Genomic DNA, 20,038 nt, shown 5'->3' on the forward strand with positions numbered 1-20,038 from the left:
TAGGGAGGAAATCTAAACATCTTATACTTGAATGTAAGCTCCGTTATTTCACGGATTCAAATGTGGTGAAAGGAACTATTTTTTTTTCCTTTTTTTTTTGAGATGGAGTCTCACTCTGTCGCCCAGGCGCGATCTCGGCTCACTGCAACCTCCCGTCTCCCGTGTTCAAGCAATTCTCCTGCCTCAGCCTCCAGAGTAGCTAGGATTACAGGCGCCCACCACCACGCGCAACTGATTTTTGTATTTTTAGTAGAGACAGGGTTTCACCATGTTGGCCAGGCTGGTCTCAAACTCCTGACCTCAGGTGATCCGCCCGCCTCGGCCTCCCAGAGTGCTGGGATTACAGGCGTGAGCCACCGGGACCAGACGGAACTATTCTTTTCCACAAAAGAACAAACACATACATAACTTTTGCCACGTCTGAAGACGAGGGTTCTAATAGGGCGCGGGTGGTGTCTCAGGTATTTTGAAAGGAGCTACCCAAGAATCTCAGCTTGTCAGGCCAGTCATTCCATTTGACCCTATCTGGCGCGTATTGGGGCCCCGACAAGGTAAGGGGTTGGCATGAAGCTGCACAGTGAGATAAAGCTGGACCGGAGCTAGAACCCAGAATCAAAGCCTTGCCCTGTGCGGTTTCTCATCGCCTACGCAGTCGGGCCCTGGCCTGGCATCTCCAGGCAGGTGGCCTTGGACGGAAGCCCGGCCTACTGGCTTCATTTGTGGGACCCCGGGGGTCCTCTCCTCCGCCCATGGAGCCTGGTTACTCCCACTTCCTCAAGCCTAGGGCCTGGAGAAGCCTTTCCTGGTTCGCGGCCTCACGGTCTGCAAGGTCCTCTTACTTCCCTGAAGCCGCTCCAGCCCCACTTCCCGAAGGTCCCGCTTCCGGGTGGCTCGCTTCGCCACCTGCGGTCCCCTGCCTCGGCTTGGGAACGCCAAGGACATCCCCCACGGAAGCCTGGGCCCACATCCCCATGCCCTTGCCGCACGTCACCGCCCCGCTGGCCCCGAATACGCCTCCGCCCTGCACTTCCTCTCTGCAGCGCCGTCTTTCCGGCCGGGCTCCCTTCTAATTGGCCAGCTCAGAGCTTCCTCGGGTACTCGGCCACTCGGGGCATCGCGGCGGCCTTTCTAGCCGCTGTCCCAAGGGTTGGTCTCGCGCTTTCGGCTGCGAGCTCTCTGTGGTGCTGGCAGCGACATGTGGCGCCTCCCGGGACTCCTGGGCCGAGGTAAGGGACGTCCAAGCAACCAGCGTCACTCTGGGCCGCAAAGACCGAACTGGAGTGGGGGCGGGCCCGAGGAAACAGCCGAAGCGATCGTGGGCCGGGTTAGAGCCAAGGAAGGCGGGGCTTGAAAGAGGGCGGGGAAGTCAGGGGCTGCTGGAATTTGAGATGTGGATGGGCCTAGCTAGAAGAGGGTGGAGTCCAAGAAGTTGGTAGGACTGTTGGGAGGGGGAGGAGTCCAATGGCAGGAGATGGTGGACTGAATGAATGAAAGAGGATTAGGGGCCAATGGAGTAGGCATAGCCAGTGAAGAGAGGAGAGGTTTAGAGTCAAAGAGCCCCAAACATTAGTGAGAGTATATGTATGAACGTTTGGTCATCTTAGAACAGTGGTTGGCATCCACAGGAGACCAGCAGAATCACATGGGCGCTTTTAAAAAACGTGGATGCTCTACCCTGAGAAATCTTAGTTTATTGGTTCTGGGGTACTACCCTAGAATCTGTAGTAGATAAAAGATTCCCATGTGTATCCATGTTTAAGAACCTCTGCTGAGGCAGATGACAGTGATTCCTGGGTTCTTGTTGAGGTGCCTGAGTTTTGGTTGTTCTGTACAGCTCTTCCCCGTACACTGGGACCTAGCCTCTGGAGGGTGACTCCTAAGTCCACCAGCCCAGATGGGCCTCAGACTACCTCCTCCACTTTGCTGGTTCCTGTGCCTAACCTCGACAGGTAAGATACTGCCATTTTACCACTCATTTCCTCCCCTAGTCACCCTTTTTTTTTATTTTTTTTTTTTTGTTGTTTTTTGAGATGGAGTCTCATTCTGTCGCCCAGGCTGGAGTGCAGTGGGGCAATCTCAGCTCACTGCAACCTCCGCCTCCCAGGTTCAAGCAGTTCTCTGCCTCAGCCTCCCGAGTAGCTGGGATTACAGGCACCCGTCACCACACCCTGCTAATTTTTATTTTATTTTATTTTTTTTGAGACAGAGTCTCGCTCTGTCGCCCAGGCTGGAGTGCAGTGGCGCGATCTTGGCTCACTGAAACCTCCGCCTCCTGGGTTCAAGCGATTCTGCTGCCTCAGCCTCCCAAGTAGCTGGGATTTCAGGCATGCACCATCACGCCTGGCTAATTTTTTTTGTATTTTTAGTAGAGACGGGGTTTCACCATGTTAGCCAGGATGGTCTTGATCTCCTGATCTCATGATCTGCCCGCCTCAGCCTCCCAAAGTGCTGGGATTACAGTGTGAGCCACTGTACCCAGCCAATTTTTATATTTTTAGTAGAGATGGGGTTTCACCATCTTGACCAGGCTGGTCTTGAACTCCTGACCTCGTGATCCACCCACCTCAGCCTCCCAAATTGTTGGGATTACAGGTGTGAGCCACCGCACCCAGTCCCTGGTCTCCCTTTGCCCCTACTTGATAGCCTCTTATTTCATCATCTAGGTCAGGTCCCCATGGCCCAGGCACGAGCGGGGGTCCAAGGTCCCATGGATGGAAGGATGCCTTCCAATGGATGTCTTCCCGTGTCTCCCCGAACACCCTATGGGATGCCATATCTTGGGTAAGGCTTCCCCAGCCTGGTCCTTGACCTTCAGTGTAGATGAGAATGATCCTTCATGGGTATACAGCCGAACCTGGAACAAGGGCTAGGGAATCACTGTGTCCATTTAACAAGTAACCCATGGTATTGGAGCATATTCAAGGAGATATTGCCACTTTCCACACCCCCGCCATGTATGTTTTCCTCATTTAATTCAGTAAACATTTATGTAACACCTTGTCTGGGCCAGGCATTTTTGCTAGTCACTACGGACATAGCAGAGAACAAGATAGATACATTCTTGCCTTCATGGATCTTACAATAAATAATAATACATTGCATCTTTTTTTTATTATTCATTTTTTTTATTTTTAAATTATTATTTTTTTCTGAGACAGAGTCTTTCTCTGTCGCCCAGGCTGAAGTGCAGCGGCATGATCTTGGCTCACTGCAACCTCCGTCTCCCGGGTTCAAGCAATTCTCCTGCTTCAGCCTCCCAAGTAGCTGGGATTACAGGCACGTGCCACCACGCCTGGATAATTTTTGTGTTTTTAGTAGAGACGGGGTTTCACCATTTTGGCCAGGATGGTCTCGAACTCCTGATCTCGTGACCCACCCACCGCGGCCTCCCAAAGTGCTGGGATTACAGCTGTGAGCCACCGCGCCCGGCCTTATAGCATTATTTATTAATGTAAAGTATTATACATGCATTATCTTGTGTAATCCTTACAAAAATCTTACAAGGGAAATATCACCTTCATTTTACAGCTGAGGAATCTCAGGCTCTGAAATATTAGGTAACATGCGTAGGGTCTCATACCTGTTAAGTGGAGGAGCCAGATTTAACTCTGGAGTTCATGTTCTACTGCTTGGTTGCTGCATCAAATACAGAGCCTAGCCCGTAATAGTTGCTCAAAAATATTTGTTGAACCTGATCTATAAGGTCAGATTCTTACTAGTGAACACTAGGTCTCATAGGGCAGAGTCTTCGCTTTTCAGGCAATGTTCCAGGTGGAAGTTCTGCTTATAAGATCTTCTGAATGAAGTTGACACACACATCACTCTCATGTTTGTCACAGCTCATCCCTGCTGCTTTCGTGCTGTGTACTTTGGACAAATGACTTGACCTGTGTGACCCTTGGCTTTCTCATCTGTAAATTGGTGTCATCAGCAGAGCTGAGCCTGGGATGTCTCCATGACAGGGTTACCCCTCTATGGGGAGCTGTGGACTAAGGCCATATCATACCCTGAAGAGAGGAGCATTTTCCCATGTTGCCAAAGAAGATCTGAGCCCTAGGGCTGTCCCATAGTGAGAAGTAGGAAGTGGGCCTGGATTCCAGAAGTCCCAATGCCATCCCTGTGCTCTGTCACTACTGCTCATATGAAAGGGTCTGCACGCAAGCTGTCCTCAGTACCATGGATACTTGTCTCTGTTCTTCACAATGCTGGTGCCTTTTCTTCTGGCCTTAGCCCACACGTCACCCCCACAGACAGGCTTTCCCTGACTCCTTGTCTTGTCAGGACCCCTTTTATGCTCTGTGTAACTCTCTGATTAGTTTCCTTCTTGGCATTTAACATCACTAGTAATTACTCTATTTCTCTCTGTAGTTGTGTTTTGTCTTTCTAAACACAAGATATAAACTTCATGAGGGCAGAAATTATGTCTGTCTTACTTGCTATTGTATGCAGTGCCTGGAGCAACAAGTAAGTATCTGGGTCAACCTGTGTGTTTTTTTTAGGCTGGAGCGCAGTGGTGCGATCCTGGCTCACTGCAACCTCTGCCTCCCAGGTTCAAGCAATTTTCATGCCTCAACCTCCGAGTAGTTGGGATTACAGGTGTGCCCCACCACGCCTGGCTAATTCTTGTATTTTTAGTGGAACAGAGTTTCTCCATGTTGGCTGGTCTTCAACTCCTGGCCTCAAGTGATCCACCTGCCTCAGCCTCCCAAGTGCTGGGATTACAGGCATGAGCCACTGCACCCGACCCTGGGTCAACCTTCTTAAGCATAACATAAGGAGAGACAGGAGACAGGGAAAACCAAGGAGTCTCTGGGATAAGAGCTAGCTCAGGTCTTCTGCAGACCTGTCAGAGAAGAAACACCTTTACAAAGCTTACACCTGGAGATGTGTGTGTGCTGGGGTGGCTTCACTGGGGGAATGGGAGTTGGTGGAAGGAGGGGTTGTGCAAGACTGGAAAGAGAGCCTAATGGGGAACTCTGACCTGTTGCTATATTTGCAACTAGGTGCCAACCTACCCCATTATCTTTTTGCCTGCTTAGTCTTCGCTTATTTAGTCACTTGATCAAGCATTTATTCAGGTTGTACTTATTAGGTCCCTACTATATATTAGCACTGTGCTGTACTTGGGCACCAGAGATACATTGGTGAGTAAAACACACATGGTCCCTGCCCATGTCGTGCTTATAGACTAACAGGAGAGACAGACCTTAGATAAATAAATGTAGAGATGATTGTTTAAATGCCAGTGTGGTCAGGGCTCCAGAGAAGTTAGGGTGTTGTGAAAGTTTGTAGTCGGGGAGCTGCCCCACCTGGATTTCCTGAGGAAGTGATGTTTGAGAATAAGGCCGGGTCTGATGGAGTTGATTGGTGAAGGACCGTGTCCTTAACGTGCTGTCTTTCCCAGGGCACTCTGGCCGTGCTGGCCCTGCAGCTGGCAAGGCAGATCCACTTCCAGGCATCCCTGCCAGCAGGACCTCAGCGGGTAGAACACTGCTCCTGGCACAGTCCCCTGGACCGTTTCTTCTCATCTCCCTTGTGGCACCCATGCTCCTGTGAGTTCTCAGTCCTGGGGACAGGAGGGCTGGGCTGGGCGTTTCTCTGGGCCAGGAAGCGTCTCTGGACACACCTCAGGAAAAGAGCCATCAGCAGCTCCTTGCCTTTCCTATCTGAAGTCAGAGGAAGAGGAATGTGGGGAAGTTCTATCCACCCAGGGCATGGGCCACACCTGCCCCTCAGTGTCTTTCCATTTCCTCCCATCACCTCCAACCAAGGGAGGCCCACAGGGTCCAGACTACTTTAGATTCTGGGTGTGGCTTCCTGGCCCACATTCAACCAGTTAAATTATTCTCTGGTCAGTCACTCAGTCATTCATAAATAAATGAATCTTTATTGAGCACCTATTATGTGCCATGGTGCAGAAGCAACATAGCCTAGTGGTTGAGGCTCTGGAGTCAGATTATAGAGGTTCAAGTCCCAAAATTGCTGCATACTAGTCTTATGTCCCTGAACAAGTCACTTTTAACTTCCTTCTGCCTCGGTTTCTTTATCTATAAATTGGGGTAATAATAAAACCCACCCCATAGGTTTCTTGGGAGGACTAAATGAGTTAATACATGTCAAGGACTTAGGGCAGTGCCTGACACATAGTAAGTGTGTAGTAATTATTAGTTTAAGCATTAGTTCTTGTCCTTATTATGATGATAATCATTAGCAATATTGCTATCAAAGAAAGTGCTAGGTACTGGGGCTACAACAGTGAGTAAGGTAGATGCCTCCCTGCCACTGAAGAATTTAGGCAGAGGAGTGATTGATGCTTAGGGTGGGAGATCAGCACAAATACAGGCCCCTCTAGACTCCTCTGGAGGGAAGCCAAGGAAACAGAGGAGGAGGAGTGTGAAGGAAGTGTCACAGGAGTTTCAAAATTCTTCCTATGGCCTCTAAAACCTCAGGGAGGACTCAGTCAAGCCCGAGCAGCCTGCACTGATCCTCTTCTGACCTGATCACTCTTTTTTTTTCTTTTGAGACACAGTCTTGCTCTGTCACCCAGGCTGGAGTGCAGTGGTGTGATCTTGGCTCACTGCAACCTCCGCCTCCTGGGTTCAAGCAATTTTCCTGCCTCAGCCTCCTGAGTAGCTGGGATTACAGGCATGTGCCACTGCACCCCGCTAATTTTTTGTATTTTTAGTACAGATGGGGTTTCACCATGTTGGCCAGGCTGGTCTTGAACTCCTGACCTCAGGTGATCCACCCGCCTCGGCCTCCCAAGGTGCTGTGATTATAGGTGTGAGCCATCGCGCCTGGCCCAGACCTGACTACTCTTGCTGGCTCTTTCCAGCACTGCGACAACACATCCTCCCCAGCCCCGATGGCCCAGCTCCCAGGCACACTGGCCTCAGGGAACCCAGGCTTGGCCAGGAAGAAGCCTCAGCTCAGCCCCGGAACTTCTCACACAACTCTTTGAGAGGAGCTCGTCCTCAGGACCCCTCTGAGGAAGGTATGTCCCTGCCTCATGGAATCAGCAGAAGGCAGGGGGCGGTGGTGGTGAGCTGGGCAAGATGGACGTTGTTTGCTGCGAAGGGAATTGGCACTCCTGTGAGGTCCCATGCCTTGTGAGGTGATTCAGGGTTATTTCGGTTCCTGGCAAGGGTGCTGGCTGGAAAGCCTGGGTAGACTGGGAGAGTCGGAGAAAAGAAGTACAACTTTCTCCTTTGCCCTGGCCGGGTGTCGGCCTTTCCCTTGCAGGTCCCGGTGATTTTGGCTTCCTGCATGCCAGTAGTAGCATCGAGTCCGAGGCAAAACCAGCCCAGCCTCAGCCCACTGGTGAAAAGGTATTATCCAGATTTGGCCACCTGGATCCCCATAACATTCTCTTGGGCAGGTGGCAATCCTGGTAAACCATCCCTTGGTGAGTCTTTTATATTTCTTTCCCAGGAACAAGATAAATCAAAAACTCTTTCCCTTGAGGAGGCTGTGACTTCCATTCAGCAGCTCTTCCAGCTCAGTGTTTCCATCGCTTTCAACTTCCTGGGTAACCAAATGGACCCTGCCCCAAGGCAGGAGGGTGGGAAAATGGAAAGGGTATGGGGTAGCTCAGATATAGTCAAGATAGGGAGTGGCTTAAACGAGAGATTTTATTTTCTCCCAGGTAGGTAGACCAAATCTGGCATGGCAGGGACCCATTCTTATGCAGATGTGTCCTGCCATTTTTAAAACTGGCTCCCATCTTGAGGCGCAGTTTGGCAATTCCAGCTCCTGCCCTCCTGTCCGTATTCTAGCCAGCTGGTCGGGGCAAGGTAGGGAAGCTAAAGGATCACTCCTTCCCTTTAATCTAGACGTTGCACAAATCCTTGTCCAGAATATAGGCACATGGCCACACCTCGCCACAGAGGAGACTAGTTACTGTGTATGAAGGAAAAAATAATCTTGGAGGGCACGTAGCATTCTCTGCCACACTTAGGAAAGAACAGGCTCCTGGGGTTTGGAGCAGATCCTCGATGTGTGAACAGGAACCTCTTAACCCTCATGTGGGGACTCCAAATACCCTTCCACCATTTGCCCTGTTCTTTGCAGTAACTTGGCTCATTTTAGGCCTTCTAATGCGGAGACTCAGACTCCCCACAGCATCTATTGGGGTCTAGTGGGCAGATAGGCAAGAGGCTGGGATTCATTCACAACAAATTTGTTGAGCATTTACCTTTTGCCAGTTCCTGTTTTAGGTACTGGGGATACAGTGATTTACAAGACAAAGTCCTTATTCTCAGGGAGCAGAAAAACAATAATTGAGAAACAAAAAGAGAATTTCAGATGTTGATAGATGTTATGAAGAAAATAAAGGAATGTGTTAGTGACTTGAGCAAGGAGCAGTTTTTGATTTAGAAGTCCTCACTGAGCAGAAGACCTTTGATCTAAGACCTGTCACAAAGACAGCCACTTTTGTTTCAATCTGGAGAAAGAGCTTTCCAAGTGGCGGGAACAGTAAGCGCGAAAATCCTGAGGCAGGATTGGATTTTGATTGCTAGAGGAACAAAAGAAAGGTGAGTGTGGCTGGAGCTTAGAGATCTTGGGAAGGGCGGAAGGAGATAAAGCCAGAAAAGCAGGCAGGGGTCAGATCAGGTGAGGTCTTCTGAGCCACAGTAAAGAGTGTGGATTTTCTAAGTGAGACAGGAAGTCTTTGGAGGGCTTTAAGCAGGAGCAGGAAAGGGGGCAGCCACATGATCTGATGTACTTTTCCAAAGATCTCTCTGGCTGCCATGTAGACAGACATGGATTGTAGGATTGCCGGGGGGAAAAAGGAGACGAGGCAGGCGCTGTTGGTGACGGCTGAACAAAACATGTCAGTGGCATGGTCTAGATGAGAGAAAGAAGAGAGCAAGAAGAGTAGATGGATCTGGTTATATTAATGAGCCAGGTGGGAAAGAGGAGGATGGTGGGATCCTTTGCACTCTTGAGTCTTCTACCCAAGGGCAGAGGGCTCTGTCAACCCTGGACAGTGAGTTTTCAGGCAGCAAGGAGGCAACTTTATTTAATTCACTGCTGGCTGAATGGAACCTGGTTTCTCCCTCATGAGCTTTATGTGATTTTGATGGGCAAAGAGTCTCTTCTCAGAATTTACTTGCCCATCCCTTCATTCATATATTCATTTATTCAGCAAGCGCTTGGCATGGTGGCAGAACGCGAAAGGAGCATAAGCCATAATCATGTTTTGCATTTGTATGGCGCCTTCACCCTAGGCAAAATTATTTCTTCTACATTCTTTTTCTGCTTCTGCCTCCAGGATTTTACAGTCTAATTGAGGAGACAGGACTTGTACTTTTGAAACGGTTTAGTTTGTAGAAAAAGGCTTGGTATATTAAGTAAGTGCCAAAAAAGTGTTTAAGCCTGAGTGTGGTCCGAAGGTTTAGAGCAGACACAGGATGGGAGCTTTGATGGTGGAGGCGGAAAGAAAGATCCCAGGCAGGAGAGACAATTGAAGCAAAGGCCTTGAGTTGAGAATTGGCCGTGCCCTCATCCTTTCCTGTTTCCTTTTTGTTTGGGCAATGAAAAGAGCATGGACTTTGGGGTTGGATGTGCCTGCATTCAGGTCTTGACACTGCTGTATTACCGCTCCCAATTTCTTCATGAAACAAGATTAACAGTATCACTTGTATCAGTTAGGGTTTGTTGGTTATGAGCAACCTAAACCCACTCTGGCTAACTTAAACATAAAAGGAATCTATTGGGATCTATTGACCTGCCAAGCCTCAGAAAGGACAGGAATCAGGGAAGCTTCAGAGACCTAAGAGGCAGCAGCTGATAGTATCTTCAGAGTGCTGCTGTCAGAATAAACCTACAAGGGCTGTTTTCTCTCCTTGTCCCAACCAGATCAAGGTTCAGATTCCTGAGAAAGAACCTCCGTGGTTAGGAAGAACACAAGCACATTGATTGACAGCACTAGGGGAGGTGTTGTTCCCAATGGGAAATCTAGATGCTACTACCAAGAGAAGGAGGAATGGTTTATAGTAGGGCAGAACCCACTGCTGTCCATGGCAAACCAGTGAAATATTTAGAAGATAGAAATATATGCAAAGGCCAGGCACAGTGGCTCACGCCTGTAATCCCGACACTTTGGGAGGCCGAGGCAGGTGGATCACCTGAGATCAAGAGTTTGAGACAAGCCTGGCCAACATGGTGAAACCCCATCTCTACTAAAAATACAAAAGTTAGCCAGGCATGGGGTCAGGCATCTGTAAACCCAGCTACTTGGGAGGCTGAGGCAGGAGAATCGTTTGAACTCAGGAGGTGGAGGTTGTAGTGAGCTGAGATTGCGCCACTGCATTCCAGCCTGGGCAACAGAGCAAGACTCCATCTCAAAAAAAAAAAAAAAAAATATATATATATATATATATATATGTAAAGTGTCTGGCACAAAAAAAGAAAGGGAGGAGGATCAGATGAGGAGTCTGTAGGTACCTGGCTGAGGGTGTGGGGAAGTTCACTGAGGAAGCTGTGTTTGTGCCCTGTGCCTTCTTACAGGAACAGAGAACATGAAGAGTGGCGACCACACGGCAGCCTTTTCTTACTTCCAGAAAGCTGCAGCCCGCGGCTACAGCAAAGCGCAGTACAATGCGGGCTTGTGTCATGAGCATGGCAGAGGCACCCCCAGGGACATTAGCAAGGTATTCCCCTGCCCCCAAGCCTGCCTTCTGTGCTGGGCTGCTGAGATTGATGTCTAGAAATGAGCAGTGGGCAGGGATGGGGGAAAGTTTGGCTTCTTTTCTCCACTTGGTTCTAGCCCAGCTGCGAAGGAAAAATAAGAAAGAAGCTCCTAACTTCCAGGAATTTAGACTCAAAATTCAGGGAGGGCAGGGATTTTGCCTTTCTTCTTTGCAACTACATCCTCAGCCTAGAATAGCATCTTGATGAATGGATTAATTAATTTTTAAAAAGTGGGATAAGAACACAAAGAGGTTATATATAAGAATGTATTTCGTAGAGTTGTATGTGAAGGCAAAAAAACCCAAAAAAACCTGAAAGTTTCTTCAATGGAAAACTGGTTAATTACATCTATTTGGGCCTTAAAATGATGTGCTAGATCTGTATGTCAGGGAAAGACATTCATGGTGTACTATTAAAGTTAAAAAAATAGGTTATAAAGTAGTATAGAGTGATCTAAGTCTCTCTCTCTCTCTGCCCCCCCCCACACATATGTGCGTGCAAATGCGTAGATGTCTAAAAGGTATGTGTGTGAGTATGTCTAACACATATATGTGAGAAGATATTTGCAAGGCTGTACGCTAAAATTTTAAGCAAGAATGATCTTTAGGAGGCTGAATTTCTTGGGATTTTATGTTTCTATTTTTGGTTTATATTTTTAAATTTTAGCTTATCTGAATTTTCTGACTAGTCTATAATTATTATGTATTAGTTAATTAAAATAATTTTTAAAAATTTCACTGAGTGCAAAAGATGCTTACAGAGTTGCCAGCCGACTGGGTGTTTCTCCCTTTGCCCCAGGCGGTCCTTTATTATCAGTTGGCTGCCAGCCAGGGCCACAGCCTGGCTCAGTACCGCTATGCCAGGTGCCTACTACGAGACCCAGCCTCTTCGTGGAACCCTGAGCGGCAGAGGGCAGTGTCCTTGCTGAAGCAGGCTGCAGACTCAGGCTTGAGAGAGGTGAGTGCCATTGGCAGGGTCTGTTCAAGGTCTCTGAGGCCTGTGGAGCCTGAAAGTGACCAAGATGCCTTCTTTTCCTTCCTCCTTGACCACAGGCCCAAGCTTTCCTCGGGGTGCTTTTCACCAAGGAGCCCTACCTGGATGAGCAGAGAGCTGTGAAATATCTTTGGCTTGCAGCCAACAATGGGGTATGCGATCTCAGTGGACAAGCATGTTGGGGATGAAGCCTGATAAGAGAAGGGATTTTGGAACTGGTACTGAGTTCTTCTGTGCTTAGGAGATTGTTGGATAGGAGCCTTGGCCTGGCTTCAAGCCTTAGCGCTCACTGACTTACTGTGTGACCGTTGGGCAGTTGCAGTAGTACGCCAGAGCTGGCTTGCACCAGGCTGTGAGAGCTGTTGGCAGCTTAAAATCTGCTATGGTGGGAATATTTGCACCACAGAAATTGCTAAATGCCATAAAACAGGGCTTTTTCCCTCCTCGAGAGCCAGTTGTTCAACATTTACCAGCACACTACTGGGCCTGGTCACTTCTTGATTCAAACCTGTTTCCTCGTCTTTAAAATCAGAATAATAATGCTTGCCTTACCTGTCCAGTACTTCACAGGGTGGTTGTGAGGATCAAAATCTAACTGAGATAACTAACAGGTGTGACAGTGCTGTGAAACCTGTACACATGAAAAACACATCATTACAAGTGATGGTAACCCAGGGAAATTAGAAGACGCATCAAGTGGAGACAGTAAACAGGGAACACTGCTCAGTTTGGGGTGGGTGGGGATGTCTGGTTGTCTGTGAACTGGGGTCATTGGCATTCAGACAATTCAGATGTGTTCCATGAAGCATTAGTTCTCTGGGATGCTTGTAAGTCATAAGAGGAAAAAAATGGTTAGATGGGTTTGGGAAATACTGAGTTAAACAGTTAATATAGGAAGTCTCAAAGCTTTATGTCACTGTAGATCACTGAAAAGGCCATCTGTAATTTGCTGTATTCCTCAAGTGTATTTGACCAGTATATCTTTTGAGTTGCATCTTGAAGGACCAGGAGTCTTGGATTAAATCAAGCAATATATGCGTGAACTGTAATCTCCCTACATAGGGGACTGCTGCTTCCTTTGTTTTCTGGCCAATACACTGATAGCTTCGTTGAACTCCTGGGCATCAGAATGCTTTTCCTTGTCTACTCTGTGTTGCCCAGAGTATCTGTAGTAGCTGTCAAAAGGGGACCAATGTCACCAACAGGTATCCACTGCTGTACCTGCCTTGCCTTGAAAGAGCCCCACAGAGCCTTCCAAAGTTGGGCAGGTCTGCACATCCATGTGCAGGGCAAGACTGGGCATGCTGGCCTGCTTTAATCAGACCAGCGTGCTAGCAGGAGAAATGTACAAAAGGATATCTGTCACCTGCTATATGACGCTGTATTGGGACTCAGACCCAACACACTTCCACCCCACAGGGAATTGTGTCTTTCTGGGTTTGTACTGAGCAGTGTTGCAGGGGTGGTGTTTTGGCCTTACGTGTGTCCACTGCTGTGTTGTAACGTGGTCTGTAGGCATGAGTCTGTCATGTTTGTTGGAGAGACTTTTGGCCTGTGTGTTATAGAAGCAGGGGGAGAATGTGTAGACAACTCTTCCCAGAAGTTTGACTGTGGAGGGTAGAAGAGAAATTGGACCATGGTTGAGAGTCAATAGTGTTTTGTTTTGTTTTTTTAATTGGGAGAGTGAATATGATTCATGTAGTGAATGTAAGCACTTTTCATATAGTGTATTTAATCCTTGCAACAACCTAATAAGGTAGGTGCTATTAGCATCCCACTTTATAGGTAAGAAAACTGAGGCACCATGAGGTAGAGTCACGTGCCTGAGTTAACACAGCTGGTAAGTGGTAGAGCCGTGATGGGAGTGCAGACAGTCTGGCTATGCAGCTGGACACCCAGCCTCTACCTGATCCTGTTCCTCCCAGGAGCATAGTTCTCAGAGAGAGGAGAGACAATCGAGGATCCAGAGCTGGGGCAAAGAGCATAGCGTTTTTTGTTTTGTTTTGTTTTGTTTTTTTGAGACGGAGTCTCACACTGTCGCCCTGGCTGGAGTGCAGTGGCGCGATCTCAGCGCACTGCAACCTCCGCCTCCCGGGTTCACATGATTCTCCTGCCTCAGCCTTCTGAGTAGTTAGGGTTACAGGTGCACACCACCACACCTGCCTAATTTTTTTTGTATTTTTAGAGACGGGGTTTCACTATGTTGGGCAGACTGGTCTCCAACTCATGACCTCGTGATCTGCCCACCTTGCCCTCCCAAAGTGCTGGGATTACAGGTGTGAGCCACCGCGCCCAGGCCAAGCATAGCTTTTTAAAGGAGAAGAGTTTCCTTTTCTGTCAGCCCTCCCAGGCAGAGATTCAGGAAGGCACAGGGCCTTTGGGAAGACAACCCTCCACCTTCGCCTCCTTGCTGTTTCAGGGCAACATAGGAGCCCGACTCCCAGGTTTGCTATAACTGGCCTGAGTGTTTCCTGTAGCCTTCGTTGTGCATGCTTTCAGCCAGCCTATGCAAGAGAAGCCTCCACACTGCCCTGGCTGGAATCTCCCTGGGTGGAGGGATCCCCCTCTCCTTTGTGTTGGGTGAGCTCTGAGCCTCTGGCATTTCGTAGTTGAGATCCCTTGCTATGGGGCGGGCCAGGACTGGGCCTTGACCGTGTGTGGATGAAGTCCCAGCATGCCTGACTTCATCTTCCTCCTCCCTTAGCATGTCAGTTCCTCATTCCTGCATGTGTGTATCTGTTTGTCTGTCCATTTTCTCCTTAGGACTCACAGAGCAGGTACCACCTTGGAATTTGCTATGAGAAAGGCCTTGGTGTGCAGAGGAATCTGGGAGAGGCCTTGAGATGTTACCAGCAGTCAGCCGCTCTGGGAAATGAGGCCGCCCAGGAGAGGCTGCGAGCCCTCTTTTCCATGGGGGCTGCAGGTACAGACCCAAGTCCAAGCCAACAGGTTCATTCCCTGAGCTCAGTACTCTGTGACAGATAAGTAGGTAGCAGTAGTCTCTGGTCTCCTAGTCATTTCCAACCCCAGTGGTGGCTAAGAATGCAGCTTTTGGGATGGGCACGGTGGCTCACGCCTGTAATCCCAGCACTTTGGGAGGCCGAGACTGGCAGATCACCAGGTCAGGAGATCGAGACCCTCCTGGCTAACACGGTGAAACCCCGTCTCTATTAAAAATATAAAAAAAAATTAGTTGGGCGTGGTGCGGACCCTGTGGTCCCAGCTACTCGGGAGGCTGAGGCAGGAGAATGGCGTGAACCCGGGAGGCAGAGCTTGCAGTGAGCCGAGATCGCGCCATTGCACTCCAGCCTGGGTGACAGAGCAAGATTCTGTTTCAAAAAAAAAAAAAAAAAAAAGAATGCAGCTTTTGGAGTCAAGACAAACCTGAGTTTTTTTTGTTTTTTTTTGAGATGATGTTTCACTCTCGTTGCCCAGGCTGGAGTGCAATAGCGCGATCTCGGCTCACTGCAACCTCTGCCTCCCGGGTTCAAGCGATTCTCCTGCCTCAGCCTCTCAAGTAGCTGGGATTACAGGCACCCACCACGATCCCTGGCTAATTTTTTGTATTTTTAGTAGAGTCTGGGTTTCACCATGTTGGCCAGGCTGGTTTTGAACTCCTGACCTCAGGCGATCCACCCGCCTCGGCCTCCCAAAGTGCTGGGATTACAAGTGTGAGCCACCGCGCCCAGTCAAACCTGAGTTTTAACCCCCACTATCACTGAACTTGGACTCCATGGCTTAGTGCCTCAGTTTCTTCACCTCTGAAAATGAAGGTAATGGTAGCACCTAACTCATTAAGTTGTCATAAGGATGAAATGAGATGACACTAAGGGACTTAGCACAGCCTGACAGCACAGTAGGTATTGAACAAATGGTAGCTGCTCTGATGATTTTGTAGGAGAGACAATATCCCAAGGTTGCCTGAATTACCCTTCTAGGGCTCTAAGAGCCCTGCTCACTCATGAGTCACTGGGGTTGGGAGTTAACAATGCCTGGGGAACCAAGCCCTTGAAGAAGTGCTGGCTCCAAAGTAGGAGTCCAAGAATATACAGCAAGAGTAAGAGTTGCTCTCACCTCTTCTTGTAGCCCCGGGGCCCAGCGACCTGACAGTTACAGGACTGAAGTCTTTCTCCAGCCCCTCCCTCTGCAGCTTGAACACCCTGCTAGCAGGAACCTCACGCCTACCACATGCCTCGAGCACAGGCAACCTTGGCCTCCTCTGCAGAAGTGGGCATCTCGGAGCCAGCCTGGAAGCCTCCAGCAGGGCTATTCCCCCACACCCCTACCCACTGGAAAGGAGTGTTGTAAGACTAGGTTTTGGCTAAGGTGAGATAAAACATAGTCCCTGGTGCCTCTTAGGGGCCAGAGCGGGCAGGAGGTTGGATAACAAAAATAGAGCATCAGCAACCCTTTCCAGGTAGAAATTCCAGCGGGAGTTCAGGTTCCCAAGCAATTTCACGTACATGGCTGGTAAGTGACTGATCTTTCCCCCCGCTTGGTAGCCTCACAGATGAGTCTTGGATGCATTCACAGTCATTTCTGGTCTGTGCACCAAAGGATGCATTCAGTGACCTATGAAAAACCCTACTGAAGGGTCCAGAGACCCTGGTGCTCACCTTAGCCTTTGTCTTTGAGCAAATAACTTACCTTCTTCCTTCTTATGCCTGGGTTTTCTCACACTTAAATCTGTACTACTGTTTGCCAATGTCTGATGTGTGTATCCCTGGTTCACAAGAAGATTTTAGATGGTATTCAAATTAATATTTTCTATTTAGTTATATATTTAATGTATAATATAAAAATATGATTAGCATATTGACCTGTAGTTTGATAGATGTTCTGTCTAGGATAAAGCTAACTGTAAAAAAAAATAGTGAATCAGTTTAAAGAAAAACATAACGTAAAAGTGGGCACAGATCCAGAGAGGTAGCAAAAATCACAGGGGTGGTTCCATGAATGGCTGACACTTAGGAAACTCTGAATTAGGCCATCCTCGAGACTAGCCCACCATTCACCTCTGTTCATCCCCCGTGGGCTCATAATCGTTTTCATTTCACCTTTGATTTGGAAGGAAGAAGTTTCTTGCCCAAATGCCTGGATGTGTCTGCTTGACTTTCAGAACTTCTCACCTCAGCCCTAAAGAGGGAGCCTGTGGGTTCTCAGAGAGATATCACAATTTGAGTCCCAAAGAAGAGGCCAGATACCCACCCACCTTCCCCCAAATCTTAAGCACCTGCGCCAGTACAGTCAAGAAGAGGAAAGTGTGTGAAGACCCAGGTCTGGCTCTGCCACTTGCCTGGCCATGTCACCTTGAAGCTGTGACCTGACTCCCTATATTGTTTCCTCAGTTGTAGACCAAAGGCAATGGTGTCTGCCCTCCTACCTTAGAAGACAAATGCAAGGGCATTTCACCACAGAGAGGACCTTTGTGCTCACTTTGGCCCAGGAGGCAGTGATGCTCATGGTTGCATGACTTTATGAGTCGCTGGGCCAGGGTGAGGACCTGGGCCTCCTGACTCCTGGCCCAGAGTTCTTGTCCATCAGTTCATACTGCAATTTTATGTGAAAGCATTATGACTGTCCTACCCATGGGAGAGTAAATGTAGATTGAATGCTAGGAGTCTTAAAGCTGGAGAGTATAGATTTTGAGGTCCCCATTTGGGAAACATGTGCCAGAAATGTCTAGGTGTTTAATAAAACAGATATTGGATTATCTCATCACTCTTGCCCTTGAGTATTATGGGAAGAGCCAGGGAGACGGGCAGGGGGAGCTGAAAGCTGAGGCTCCGTCCTCATCTCTAAACTCTCCACTAACCAATTTAAAGGATCTTAAAAGCTTCTCCAGGAGAGAGACTTAGGAAAAAAAAAGATTTCTGAGTCAGTGCTAATGAGTCCAGTTACTGAATTTGTGAATAGCTATTCCCTGGCTTCTGGATGTTAGCCCAAGTTGAATAGCATAGATGTGGTTGAGAGTGGGGTCTGGGAGGGATAGAGAGCCCACCGCCCACCCCCCACAATCCCATGACTGAGTGGAGACCAACCAGCCTGGCCAATTCAAAGGCAAGAAGATTTGAGGGGGGAAAGTTGTCCACGTTTCCCTCTCTGCTTCCCACCCCATCTCTCTCAACTTCTTAGTGGTCCTGCCATACTTTCCTAGCACCTCTCTTTCACCCGGGGAGCCCAAGCGTCCTCTAGCTCCATCTCCTCGCCTGCTCCCTGCCTCCTTTTCAGGGCTGCCCTGCACACTGGCTCACCACTGTTGGACCCTGCACATGGCCACCTTCCACAGATGGCACTCCTTGGGAGCAGGGTCCTTGTCTTTGTATTCCAGTGTCCCCAGCACTGAGTGCAAGGCCCCATGCAGGGTAGGAAACCTGAGGTTTCAAGCTCAGGGTTTTAAGCTGTGCAGTGCACTAAGCTCTCTGCCAAAAAACAAACAAAAAAAGGTTTCTGTGGTTAAATAAGTTTGGGAAATGCTGCACCAGACGTCCCCTTTTTATAGATTCACAATACACATCAGCATATTTGAGGTTCCAAGAAGTCCTCCAGTAAAGAACTTGGTTAACCCAATGTTTTCTCTCACTGAATTGAGCCCAGAGCCCGTTTCCCTACAGATTGCTTTTGAGCCTTCCTGGGGCACCCTCTGCGTGAAATGTCACCGTGTGCCCTCCCTGTGGAGCCCCACTCCCCAGCCTCCTCCCCTCTGTGGTCATTTTGGATTTTCTGACTACTTCCTTCTAGCCATAGCTGGGGCCGAGGGCTGGTTCACAGTCTGGCCACTGGGCGTCCTGTGGTGAAGGCCAGATGCAGCCCTCCCTGAGTGGCTCTCCCTCCCACTCAGTCACTACTGAGCTAAGTACTGATTCAATTTGGGGTGCCAAAGGTTGGGGGTAGGATATTTTTAAGCTCTCCAATTTAAAAAGGAAGGGCCTCTCCTGTGGAAAGGGAAGGATGGCAGAGTCGTGAGAAAGGTGTTGTCAAGGGACCAAAAATCCTTGGCTGTTCAGTCACTGCGGTCTTGATCCAGCCCCAGGGGGATGGGCTTCACTGGCAGAGCTGGGTACTGCTGTGCTTTTGCCATTAAAATTCTGTTATTAATGACTCATCATCAGTGCCCCAGAGGAAGTGTGAGAGGACGAGAGGGAGGTGGCTCCCATCAGCAGGGCCAGCCTGGGTCAGGATGCTGGGTTAAAGCCCGGCGCCCTCACCAATGAGACCTTTGTGGGAAGCTCTACTGCCTCAGTTTCCCTATCCGGAGATGCTGTTTTCAGGGAGTCCTGACACTATGATGGGAACAAGGCTATTTGGTTTACTATATCATTAGTGCTAATATAGTGTGGGGCACTCAGATGTTCAGTAAATATACATTCAACAAATAAGTGAGTGATTATACTCAACTCCCCCCACCCAATGCCCAGCACCAAGCCTACCCAGCACATAGTAGGTACTTTAAGTAATTTGAATGAATAATTTTAAATAACTTGAATGAATAATTCTGTATTGCCCCCCACTCGCCGCCTATACACACGCACACACGCACACACACACACACGGTTTCCTGTGCTACTTCTGGCACTTAGTAATTATTCAATAAACACAAAATGTTTGTTGCATGAGTGTTTCTGATCATGTCCTACTCCTCCCACGTTGTACCCAAAATTTAGTAGGAGCTAGAAAATGCTTATCTATTTTCTAGGTACACACTATGTGCCAGGCCAAGCCTCTCCTTCCTCCTGTCCTCTCTTTTTTGGGATTTGGTTCTCTCCAGAGTTTCAAAGGTAGTGGTTGCCACATCACTCTTATTTCAGCCAGAGAAGAGGCAGCGTCAGTGAGCTGCCAAACTGAAGTTGGGTGACAGACAAGGCAGCTGCCTGTCAATCTCTGAGCTGCCTCCAGGCTCTGAGTGAGCACTGCATTGCACTCCTGGTGCTGGAGAACGGCTGACTATTGATTTAAAAAATGTCCCTCTATGCTTTCCAAATTAGGACGACATGTAACAGTGCTTGCTGGCTCGCCTGCTCCCTCAGTCTCCCAGGGGACAGAGCCCATCTTGGTGGAAACTGTTTTGAGCGTGTCCAAAGTCTCAGCTTTGACATCTTGGCTGATGTCAAGAAATTTCTGTAACCTTCCTGTTCAACACACCCAGTTCTGTTACCATAGACACGGTCTCACTCTGAGCTGTTATTGGGAAAGGTGCTGGTATCAGCTCATCAGGAGGGGACACATGGTGCAGGAGAGAACACTGTCCCTCACGTACATACACCCCCATTCTGATCAAAGTTCAGAACAGGAGCAGCTCTACGCAGGAGTTCTCCAGGTTCTGCAGGGAAGGCAGGGCTGAGGGCTGACC

The 20,038-nt window shown here is 48.7% G+C and overlaps 1 protein-coding gene across 13 annotated transcripts, besides 2 other annotated features; it reads left to right on the forward strand.

Annotated features, from left to right (window-relative positions):
- Window positions 1,006-1,519: an enhancer, noted in NCBI's record as "H3K27ac hESC enhancer chr5:141303317-141303830 (GRCh37/hg19 assembly coordinates)". NCBI's record gives its function as "activates a minimal SCP1, AML or CMV promoter by ChIP-STARR-seq in naive H9 embryonic stem cells {active_cell/tissue: H9 hESC(naive)}" and the evidence as "EXISTENCE:reporter gene assay evidence [ECO:0000049][PMID:30033119]".
- On the forward strand, window positions 1,125-19,301 carry DELE1 (DAP3 binding cell death enhancer 1). Of its 13 annotated transcripts, XR_427783.3 has the most exons (14): window positions 1,125-1,226; window positions 1,835-1,949; window positions 2,664-2,781; window positions 5,405-5,552; window positions 6,836-6,994; window positions 7,243-7,328; window positions 7,432-7,528; window positions 10,513-10,655; window positions 11,494-11,652; window positions 11,748-11,840; window positions 14,452-14,611; window positions 15,775-16,014; window positions 16,106-16,158; window positions 16,808-19,301. XR_427783.3 is itself a non-coding variant. In NM_001142603.3 (13 exons), exons 1-12 carry the CDS (start codon window positions 1,196-1,198, stop codon window positions 16,011-16,013), a joined length of 1,548 nt encoding a protein of 515 aa, NP_001136075.1. In that variant the 5' UTR covers window positions 1,125-1,195; the 3' UTR covers window position 16,014; window positions 16,808-19,301. The 13 variants fall into 13 exon arrangements, 7 of the variants coding, with proteins under 7 accessions (NP_001136075.1, XP_005268604.1, NP_055588.3 ...); XR_001742388.2 differs by having other exon boundaries at window positions 15,775-16,158; XR_007058666.1 differs by lacking the exon at window positions 14,452-14,611.
- Window positions 6,575-7,075: an enhancer, noted in NCBI's record as "H3K4me1 hESC enhancer chr5:141308886-141309386 (GRCh37/hg19 assembly coordinates)". NCBI's record gives its function as "activates a minimal SCP1, AML or CMV promoter by ChIP-STARR-seq in naive H9 embryonic stem cells {active_cell/tissue: H9 hESC(naive)}" and the evidence as "EXISTENCE:reporter gene assay evidence [ECO:0000049][PMID:30033119]".
- Window positions 19,302-20,038: the final 737 nt, after the last annotated feature.

Source organism: Homo sapiens, chromosome 5, assembly GCF_000001405.40.
Source record: "Homo sapiens chromosome 5, GRCh38.p14 Primary Assembly".
Lineage (NCBI taxonomy): Eukaryota > Metazoa > Chordata > Mammalia > Primates > Hominidae > Homo > Homo sapiens.